This window comes from Homo sapiens, chromosome 12, assembly GCF_000001405.40.
Source record: "Homo sapiens chromosome 12, GRCh38.p14 Primary Assembly".
Taxonomy (NCBI): domain Eukaryota; kingdom Metazoa; phylum Chordata; class Mammalia; order Primates; family Hominidae; genus Homo; species Homo sapiens.
Window position 1 is genome coordinate 58,068,155 of NC_000012.12, and position 12,065 is coordinate 58,080,219.

Genomic DNA, 12,065 nt, shown 5'->3' on the forward strand with positions numbered 1-12,065 from the left:
CTCATCCTGTTAGCACAAGGCAGCAGCCAAGCCCACAGCTCCCCAGCCCCTGCTGGATCATCTCCTTTAGCTTCTCCAGATCCTAAGCTGGGTGTGTGGATGGCTCTGTGGTGAAGTGTTCCAGCTCCTTCTGTGCCATTGAGGCTGGAGATAGAGAGAGGGAGATGAGGGTTCCAGCTGGTCTTTGTAGGTTCCAGTTTGTCCTTGTCCTGCCTTTTAAATGTCCAGCTGTTCTTACCAACTGCTGGTACTGAGAAACTCTACAGAGCCTGCAGGGCTATAACAGACAAGGACTGACAGCCTCCCATAGGGTTCCTCAACAGCTCCTACAATTACATAAGGTGGAGTTCCTATAGCAAATCCCATATAGTGGCTCTGCTTGTCTGACAAAGCCTAAATGACACAGCATCTGTCCACTAACTCTGAAGATTCTCGGGGAGGACTTCGTCCTCTTCGTCGTTTATTGGCCTAATTTTCTGCTCCTCAGAGTTTTCAAATTTACTGTCACCTTGACTCTTGTGTCTGTTCCCCTTTCTATGCCCCAAGTCAACCAAAATGTGGAACACAATGCCTTTTCCTTAGTTTACCTCAAATACCACTCATAAAAGCAAGGAATTTCACAGAGGTTCTGTGGTAAAAATGGGAGTTGCATTAGAGCAAAATACCTATAGCAGAAGATTACTTAAAATTGAGTATTAGTTGCCCCATTTTGAAAAGTCCAGTTCCTTGGCCTCCTGCCAACTATCAGTTTTCTTTCTCTTCTCTCATCTGTCTCCCTAATCTGTCCTTCTGCATCTTTCTGGCAACTCAAAACTCCTTTCATTAAAAAAAAAAAAAGTAGAATAATTCAGGTCTCTCATTTTCTTCTTCTTGATCATTGATATGGTTTGGCTGTGTTCCCACCAAAATCTCATCTTGAATTCCCACATGTTGTGGGAGGGGCCTAGAGGGAGCTAATTGAATCATAGGGGCAAATCTTTCCCATACTGTTGTCGTGATAGTAAGTCTCACGAGAACTGATGGTTTTAAAAAGAGGAGTTCCTCTGCACAAGCTCTGTCTTTCTTTGCCTGCTGCCATCCATGTAAAAGATGACTTGCTCCTCCTTGCCTTCCACCATGATTGTGAGGCTTCCTCAGCCGCGTGGAACTGTAAATCCAATTAAACCTCTTTCTTTTGTAATTTGCCCAGTGTTGGGTATGTCTTTATCAGCAGTGTGAAAACAGACTAGTACAATCATGTTATTGCATGCTTTCATTTTTATAACCAAAGGCCATCAAAGAAAAGACATCTTTCTCTTGAAGAGGAAGTTTACTGCCAGTTGTAAAACATAGGCCTTTCCCTCCCCTCTGTATCTTGAACTATCTTGCAGTAGATCTCAGTGGAGAGGGATGCCATATTCTATACCATCCTGTCACAGATTTACTCAAAATCAATTTTATAAAACCAAAACCTTAAAAGAAAGATTGGCAAAACAATTGTATTAGGATAAGTAGGTCCTGCTAAGAAACAGCTTTGAGAAAGTTTTGAATTACAGGCAGTTTGTAACAGCTGTGGATTGCAACATTTTCCCTGGTGAGTTGTTTAGAGTGTCATTGTGTATAAATTTCAAGCTATACTTCTAGAAGCTTTCATTTAGAAAGTTGATCTTTTACTTCTTTAAGGGTATAAAAGGAAATTGCAGGGTGTGCCTTGGTATGTGAACTATGGGCAAATTGCAGCATGTCAGTCTCTCCTTTGGAGACATGTATGTTTGCCAGTTTTTAAAATACAATTTAAGGAAGCAACAGAATTGTAGTGAGATGGATATTTAAATTCAGAGATGGGAGAAAATACAGAAGGAAATGGAGGAAGGTAGGAGAGTTATTTTTAAAAAATGTATCAAGACATGAATACAAGCACTTAATCTTAACAAAAGGACTAGTTGTAGCCATGCTGAATTAATCATTCTAATTAGATTTCCAAGATATTTGAAAAACAACTCTCCATATTGAGAGACTGATAGTTTTTCATTGACACTTTGCTATTTTTGTATTACTGGTCCAGAGCCTCATAAGTTTAGAATTTTTAAGTCAATAAATTAGAATAACAAGTGAAAGAGAAAATTACTTCTTTTTGACTAGAGAGATTCTAATCGCAGGTTTTTATGTTCTCAGTGTATGGATGTCTTATCTATCTACTTTTTTTTTTCTTTTCTCTCTCTCTCCCTCTCTCTCTTTTTCTTTTTTTCTATGTGCAAGATAGGAAGAAGTGTTTTGAGGGAGAGCACACTTGTGGGAAATGCCTTCAGCAGCAGCTATGCAAGAGAACAGATGAGAGAAGGTCTTGTAGGTTTGGTATCCACAGTGCTTTTGCCAACCAGTTGACTTGATGTTTCCAGTGATATGGCCAGAGCACCAGGATTCAGGGTATGACCCAACCACTATCAGATTCTACTTCTGGAGTTCATTTCCTTGGACATTGCTCAGGAACAGTAGTTTCTTAACCTTTTTGGTTCATGGAGGTGTATGAGGTCATAGACCCTTTCCAGAGAAAAATGCACATATGTATACAGAAAAATTTGCCAACAATATTAGAAGATTATAGGCCCCATGAAACCTACCCGAGGACTATAGGCTATAACTCCCATTCTAAATCACTGTCTTTTGGAGGATTGTAAAGGCCCTTCTATTCCACATTGAGGTTCCTTTTCAGATCTAAGCCTGAGTGTCACTCAATTCTTCTGTGGCTTAGCAGAGGATGATATAGATTCTTATACCTCACAGTTGTTTAACACAAGGCTAGATAAATTCTAAAGTGAGGACAGCCACAGAGACGCCACATTTGTGTCTTATTTGCTGTTATATTCCAGGAACATAGTGGGTACTCAAGAAGTAATTGTTGAAACTTTTGCCTTAGAGTATAATGTGGTGGTAAAGTGAGGTGAGAAATTAAAGTGGACTTTGTGTACTCTTGGAGCAAGAGGAGTGCTCAAATGATAGGTAGGATGTGCAACTGGATCTCCAATGAACCAATTAACTAAGGACTCCTTGCCTTCCTTTAGTATTGCTGGCCACAAGAGGAAACTTGGGGCTGCATAAAAATTTGAGCTGTGGGTAAGGCTGCTGGAGGACCTGCCTGCCAAAGAGAATTCTGCATTTGTCTTCTTTGTTTCCTCTTGCCTAAGGAAGAAGAATCCTTACCCCCGAGAGGAGAGCAGATTGCTGGAGGTGGAAGAAAGAGAAAAACCACAGGATTAGTGGATTAAGAGAAGTTTTTGGAGAGAGACATTCTGGAGAACACACACTTGCAAATATGCATTTCAGATGATTTCTTCAGGATTGATTTCCCAGGGTGAAATTACCTGGTCAAATGGGGTAGACGTTTTTAAGACTTGATGACAAAGTGCTTTTGAGAGAAGCCAATCATTTAACCCCCTCTATTTTCCATTCCTGAAACATAAGAAGGTGCTCATATGTTGTCAGTATTTTTTACATTTTATAACCGAGGAAACAACATTTTGGAGAATGTAAATACTTGCACAAGCTGGTAAATACTCTATTTGTTCAATTCCAAATGACATGTTTTCCCTTACACAGCACCATGGTTCAGTGTTGAGATCCACAGAAAACGTGACAAGGTTGGCCTTTGACTCAGGCCTAGCAGCCCTGAGAATAGGGATGGGGACTGAGAGAGAGAGACAGCACGAGCTAGAGAGAGCTGTGGATCCAGGCTTCAGGGATGCAATGAAGCCTGCAAACACCTTTCTCTCACAAGGCTCGAGAACATCCAGTCACCTCCCTGACCACACTTCTCAGATCTGCTTTCATCTGACTTTCACGTTCTCAAGGTTAACCTTGTCAGGCTTGATGATCAACAAGGTTGCAATGAGTATTCATAGAAATTGGTACAGAAGTTAATGTCCAGATCCACATGAAACGCAGGCAGAAATGAAGACAGTGACACTTACCAATCTTGACAGAAGGGACAAAAGGTTAAACTCTACAAGGAAACATTTGTAACCCTCATCAGCATGGTGCTGCATATTGTAGACAATACATGCACTTTAAAAACCACAGGATCTAAGCATTATGGAAATGACAATGACAACTTAAGGAGAGCTGTTGTCACTGGGGAAGGATGCTTAGAAATACGCACTGCTTTTCAACATCATTAGGACATCTCAAAGTCCTTGGTTTTAGGTAATTTCTTTTGTAAGTTTATAAGGTATAGCTCTCAAATTGTTTCCAAGTCTTATTAGTTCCCGGATATTTATGACTAATTATTCATTAAGTGGAAAAACGAAAGGAGGGGAGGGAAGAAAAATGAGTTTCCAGTTTTTACAAATATTGTTTCCTTTTTTGTTCTGATTCCTGAAAATAATAATATGGGATACATTCATACAGTCCAGGGGATGATCTCTATTGAAGCCACAGAGAAGAATAGATAAGCACACAGTATACAAAGTGAACAAATTCCCCTTAATGAATATTCAAAGCCTGTCCACCAAAAATTCCCAGTTTTCTGGTTTCAGTAGGTTTTGGAGGTTTGATTTTGTAGGTCAGACCTGGTAGGTAGGGCAGGGACTGAGTTATCTGTGCTTTTGTTTTTCACTAGTGTGGGCCTGCCTTATCAATGCATCCCTAGAGCCAATTAAGGACAAGATGAATTTTTGGGGCCTCTCCAGTCACCTTTCTTAAGCGTCCACAAAAAAGGTAACTTCTAGTGCCTTTACCTGATCTTGCTTGAAAACAGTCAGGAGAATGCTATGGTCTGAATGTATATGTCCACCCAAAATTCATAAGTTGAAAACCTAATCACCAATGTGATGGTATTAGGTGGGGTCTTTGGGAGATGATTTGGTCATGAAGTTGAAGCCCTCATGAATGGCATTAGTGCCTTTATAAAAGAGGCCCCAAATACCTGTCTTGCCCCTTTCTACCATGTCAGTTTACAGCAAGAAGACAGCCCTCACCAGACACTTAATCTGCTAGTGCCTTGATTTTGGACTTCCCAGCCTTCAGAACTATGAGAAGTAAACGTTGTTTATAAGCTATCCAGTCTGTGGTATTTTGTGATAGTAATCTACATGGACTAAGACAGAGGCTGTTACCAAAATTATAGGAAATATATTTAGAAAAGAAATTATTTTAAAATGCCAGATATTTATTCATATGGAGAAAAGACTCTTCTCTTAGAGAAGTATTATGGCCCACAAAAGCTGTACTTATTCATATATACGATTTTTCATTTAATGTTGACAGCAACTCTACGAGATAGACATTATTATTATCTCTGTTTTATGGGTGAGGAAACTGTGGCTTGGAGGGGTTTAGGTGACTTGCTCCTGGCTACACACCTAGTGAGCAATGAAGAGAGGAGGACTCACACATAGATATTCTGAGATGAAATTGTTTGCTCTTTGTGTTACTTCATGTTCCTTTGGTTTAAGCCAGGGTGTATTATTTAAGTAATCATGGTTATACTTATCTTTCATCATTAGTATCCCTCATCATCCGTGAAGTGGCTTTCATCTTGTAGGTCAAATATTGGGAGGTATTTCCAGTTAAAAATTAAAAAGTCAAGAAGTCTAAAAGTACAACTCTGAGCTTTGGCCGTTTGGATGTGAAAACAGCCCAGTCTCATCAAAATTAAATGAGAAAAAAGTGAGCAATGTATCAAGTAGGAATGCATTTGGCTGTAAGTAATAGAAAAATAGAACAATCTGGTCAGAGTAGCTTAACCAAATAAGAATATATTATTTTTTTCATAACAAGAAGTTTAGAGGTGGGCAGTCCATGGTAGGGAATAGCCCCACATGCATCAGAGTCCGTGCTACTCAAATCCTTCCACTCCGCCATCCTTAGCATGGGACTTCTGCCTTCAGGTTTGCTGCCTAATGATTGTAAATTGGGTTTTCCATCTTTAGCTCCATATCCACATTCCATACTGGTAGAATATGGGCCCAATCTGTTTGCCTTTGAGTCTTTCTTCTTGTTTGGAAAGGGATGTTCTCTCTGAAGACTTCCTTGTGTCAATTGGCCAGGGCTGGCTCTCAGGACCACCCTAACTACAAGGGAGTGTAGGAAGGTGAATATTTTCAGCTCGGCCCAATTTCATACTGGAAAAAACATGGATTATGTTAGAAAGAAAAAATAAAAGAATGAATGTAAAGTGAATTTTTTGGAGGGATTGGGAGTGAGAGTTCTGAATGGATAGTAATGATTAAAAATCATTTAAACCAAATGTTCAGTTGAGATAGGCTTCTGAGGAGGAAACTAGAACCTTGTACTTGGGTGTGTTCTAATGAATGAGGAACTAGTTGGGACAGCCTAGGCAGGTAACTGCATTGAAGAGCAGGCAGAGCTAAGTGGCTGAAATGGTGGTGAGAGATAATGACAGTGAGGTGGAGCTCAGTTACAAAATGGCCAGAAAAGATTAGGATAGAGAGAAGATGCCAAAATTTATGGGGTCATACTTTTTAAAAAAATTATACTTTAAGTTCTGGGATACATGTGCAGAACGTGCAGATTTGTTACATAGGTATACACGTGTCATGGTGGTTTGCTGCACCCATCAACCCATCATCTACATTAGGTATTTCTCCTAATGCTATCCCTCCCTTAGCCCCCCACCCCCCAACAGGCCCCGGTGTGTGATGTTTCCCTCCCTGTGTCCATGTATTCTCATTGTTCAACTCCCACTTATGAGTGAGAACATGCAGTGTTTAGTTATCTGTTCTTGTGTTAGTTTGCTGAGAATGATGGTTTTCAGCTTCATCCATGTCCCTGCAAAGGACATGAACTCATCCTTTTTATGGCTGCATAGTATTCCATGGTGTATATGTCTCACCTTGTCTTTTTTTTTTGTTTTGTTTTCTTTATTATTATTATTATTATACTTTAAGTTTTAGGGTACATGTGCACAATGTGCAGGTTATTTACATATGTATACATGTGCCATGCTGGTGCGCTGCACCCACTAACTCATCATCTAGCATTAGCTGTATCTCCCAATGCTATCCCTCCCCCCTCCCCCCAACCCACAACAGTCCCCAGAGTGTGATGTTCCCCTTCCTGTGTCCATGTGTTCTCATTGTTCAATTCCCACCTATGAGTGAGAACATGCGGTGTTTGGTTTTTTGTTCTTGCGATAGTTTACTGAGAATGATGATTTCCAATTTCATCCATGTCCCTACAAAGGACATGAACTCATCATTTTTTATGGCTGCATAGTATTCCATGGTGTATATGTGCCACATTTTCTTAATCCAGTCTATCATTGTTGGACATTTGGGTTGGTTCCAAGTCTTTGTTATTGTGAATAATGCCGCAATAAACATACGTGTGCATGTGTCTTTATAGCAGCATGATTTATAGTCCTTTGGGCATATACCCAGTAATGGGATGGCTGGGTCAAATCCTTTTCTTTATGCAGTCCAGTCTATCATTGATGGGCATTTGGGTTGGTTCCAAGTCTTTGCTATTGTGAACAGTGCTGCTATAAACATATGTGTGCCTGTGTCTTTATAGTAGCATGATTTATAATCCTTTGGGTATATACCCAGTAATGGGATTGCTGGGTCAAAGGGGCTTACGGTATAAAAAGAGGTGTGGAAAATCAGCCCCAGTAGGAACCAATTAATTACTAATCCACAGAGGAAACCATGCTCCACATTTTTTTTTTTTAAATCTGAAGACATGGTAAACTATGGGTAGATTTTTAAAAATTACATATGAACCGATGACTAGATTGTGAAATGTAATAAAGTGCCAGAATACCCAGTTGCTTTGGAACAGAATTCTGTGTGTTGTTTGTAGGTTTTGTCTACCTAACAACACAATTTTGTTTGGGTGAATTTTTGTTTGTACTTGATAAAGGTTTTGGTTGTATTGTCTGGCTCATTTGAGTTGGGCAGCCTGATCTTTTGTTCTGACTTAACCTCCCATGAACACATTTCTAAAAGGATGGTTTTACTATTTATAAATTTGGTGCTGCTCAGAGGTCATTTAGAAATTAATGTAATTAAAAAGGCATAAATAAAACAGGAACCTGTTGACCTGACCTAGATACAATCTTACCAGAAGGCAGGGTTGTTGTGTGGTTTGTTTTTGTTTTTGTGGGGTTTTTTTTTGGTGGGAGGTATTTACTTCATTATAGCCTTAGAAAATTCAGACAGAGATTTGTGAACAGTGTCCTGAAACATTGTTTGTAAGAAAAGTTGGCTTCTATGGTCTCACTCTATTCTAAAATCTTTCATGATAAGCATGTCCTAATAGGTCAAGGTAAAGCTTTGCTGCCCTGGTAGTGGGTGGGAAAGACACAGAGAAAAAGAGTGCATAGATATTCTTCCATTTCCCTCTATGCTTTCTTGCCTTCTGGATTTGGCCTTCTCCTTGATCTCCAACATCTTTGTGTTGAAGGGCCTACAGAGTAAACTGTGGGACTCAATAAACATTCGTTACTTGATTTATTTTAGAGAAAATTTGAATATAGCCTAAATAGACACAAGATTTTGTTTTGTTGGGGCAATATTTACAGCGTGTCCCACATAACGTAAAGAGTAAAATGTATTTTAATGTAGGTTGTCTTTGGTTCATCCTTCTATAAATTAAAACTAGACATTTCTGTTGAGAATCACTTTGTTCCCTCTACTCTTTGTGTGTGACATTCACTTGTGAAATGACAAGACTTTCTAAAATCCTTAGCCAAGTTTAAATCAACTCAGAAAAATCACTTGTTTAATACTGTCTTTTTTTTTTTTTTTTTGCCATCCGCTGTCATTTATTCTGGTTTTATTTTTTCACCCAGAGCAACTCCTTAGAAGAGCGTTACATGGGTAGAAATAATTGTTGGTTGATTGATTATGACTGGAGAGTATGTGTTCTGAAGTTGGAGGTTAAATAAAGCCAACACCACAGGTCTACATAGAATATATGTGTGGTTGATTTGATAGAGAAAAAACCCAATTCACTACAGAGAGGGCCAGGTGAGATGCCTTGAGGGCCTTGGACAACACTTTTGATTTCTAATCTACACAGATTACTTTGGAACTGACTATAAACTAGTTAAATGATTGGCTGGTGACAAAAAAAAAAGATGAAGAAAGTAATGAATGCATACTAAATGGCGCAGAAGATTTAGAGGGATTTGTATTAGCTTTGTAACAAGACTGACATATGGGAAATAAAATTTATTGTTACTAAACATTGAACATTACTCTTGAGCACTAAAATAATGAACACAGTAAAAATAAATAGCATTGAACTAACTAGAGCAGTAAGACTTTCAAAAGAACCCTCCAGAGAGAGGAAGGAAGGGTTTTTCTTTCACATTGTGTAGATAATATAAAGCCACACATCACCTATGCAATAGCATTAGGCTAATTATTCCCAGAGAGCTGGTCAGAGTGTCTAGTTATGCCCAACTGATTGACTCTTTCCTCTTAAATTCCTAAGGAAGCATCAATATTTCTTAAAATATACATGTCAAGATTTCAAATCCCCAAGCTTTTAAAAACATAGCAAAAAATCATAATACAGTTTGGATTAGAAAATGGTTAGAAAGGTTTCAACTTAGCATCTGTGTTGAGTGTTGAATAAACCCATTAGACCTTGAGATATTGCCTTGGAAAACCTAAATGACAACAAAAAGTATTCATTTAGGGAGTAGCCTTCCTGAGAAGAGTTAGAAACTCTTATCACTAGAGACATTCAAAATGGCCATAAAATGTGTCAAGGAAATTATTTTCTCTCTGATGTTATTCTGAGCATGCATAATGAAAAAATTCTTTTTATCAGTGTGTTTTTTACTAGCATACATAATGAAAAAAATTGTTTCATCAGTGTGTTTTTTACTCTCAGTTTACCATTAAGTGCATTACAAATCAGTTTTGAATTTCACAGTAAACACAGTCATGTTTTTCAGGGTCTCCTCAATAGGTCCATATAGTCATAGATTAATTGCTTAGGACAGTATCAGGTTTGTCACTTACCCAGGTACTGAGTTTCAAACTGTACCTCTCTTTAGGAATAAGATTAGTTTTTGTTGTTGTTGTTGTTGTTTTTTCTCTCTACTAACTGCATTTGTCCCTCTTCATCAAAGCACACGCTGAATAGCCATGCTTTTGCATCTTACTGATGCACAGAGGTTGATCAGTTGGATTGAAAGACAGAGCTCGAAAGGTGTTGTAATGCCTTGTTGGCAGCACCAGATCAAGGTGGTATGCTGTGGAGGGGATTCTAGCTTTAGCTCTGCCACTAAAAAGCAGCTGGACTTTAGGTCAGTTGATTGGCATCCATAGATCTTGGTTTCTTCATTTGCAAATGAAAAAAAAAAGTTTTTGCCCCTGTTCCAGGATGCTCTCAAAACTCTTTTTTATCCATCCAACCACCAGGCTTTATTCCATCCAAGGGAGAACAGTATAAACGAACAGAGCTGCTTCTGGAGGTCTCATCTAATGAGGGGCTGAAAAACTCTTAAGGGGCCAGAGAGTAAATATTTCAGATTTTGTGAGGCAAAATTGAGTGAATTATGTAGGTATTTATGTAACATTTAAAAATGTAACCATTAGAAAATGTAAAACCCATTCTTGTGGGTGGTATAAAAACAAGTGGTAGGTTAGATTTGGCCTTGCTGTCGTTGTCCAACCCTGCTCTGGAGGAATAATATAATATACACAGATAATCACACCCCAATGTGCAGGATAGAAGTAAGAGGCAAAAAAATTCATCTGAACGATTTCCTTCCTTGACCAGACACTTTAGTTAAGACAGCCTTTCTTGGTCGTGCAAGAGCCCTTTACTTCACTGGGGGCCATGGAGATCCCTCCTGCCCATTCTTTTCATCTCTCTTCTTATCTTTCTTTCTTTTTGTTTTCTTTGACCTCAAACTACCATTCCCATTTACTTCAAGAGCTTTTTTATTGAGACAAGATGAGGAGGCCTGGGGAAAGGGTGGAAGGGAAGGAGGAGGCCAGCAAGAATTTTAATTTCCCGTGCACCAACATAATTACAGAGCAGATACAATTGCCTCCAAATCTTTTGTGCTGCTTTATATGCATTCATTATTTTCCTCATCTTTTTGTCACCAGTCAGCCATTTAACTAGTTTACAGTCAGTTCCAGGGAAATTTATGTAGACTAGAAATCATCGACCTTAACTGAAGCCCTGAAGACATCTTACGTGTTAGCACATCGATAGATATTGTATTTTAATAAATTCAGTTTCTCTATCAGAAACTTTGTGTCAGCTGCAAGCCTCTCTTATCACAGAGGCATCTGAACTGCCCTAAGTATGAAATATGGACAATCAGAAAGCCTCATCTCAGATTGTTCTGGAGGTTTACTCCAGAGAGAGTCCATCATTTTGGAAATTCATTTAAATAGGTAGAAGGAAAATATCAAGAGCCTAAAAAATGCATGTAATGCCATTGCATTTTCCTTTTCTATGATTAATTTAAGTTCCCCTGGGAAATGTTACCCTTTGAAGTTGTAGATGAATTAGAATTTTTCTCTCAGAATTATTAACACATACCATTTCTGACAAGTAGTGTGTTTCCTTTAACAATCTTTGATTTTTCTCACATTTAAATGCGGTTAATATTGAATAAATGGCCTGTTGTCTTTCTTAGTATTTATTGTTAATGTGACTTGAACACTTGCAGAATTTCCTTTTTGAAATGTTTAAAGATATGTACATGTTCCAAGATAAGATTTTATCTAAAACATTCTGACCAGTATTGAGTATGTATCAAAAATGATGTGCTTCTTAATTTGAAGTCCAGTAAAGACAAAATGAAAAGTGGTGGGATAAGGCTGGTAAATTGCAGCTTAAGCCCAAACAATGACTATTATGGAATATAAACATGTATAAGCTTGTCTGTCAAACTGGTGGAGCACTGCTGCAACGAAGCCTTTTTTGATCACTACAGGTACTGGATGAGCACTCATTCAGAGAGAAGGAGACAGGCTTGAAAAGCTTCATCCATTATCAAAACCATAGTCACAGCCAGTGTATGTGTGGATGACACAGGGGACAGATGCCCACCACTTAGCCTTATACCTGGCCAGTCCCCGATGGACTCAAAT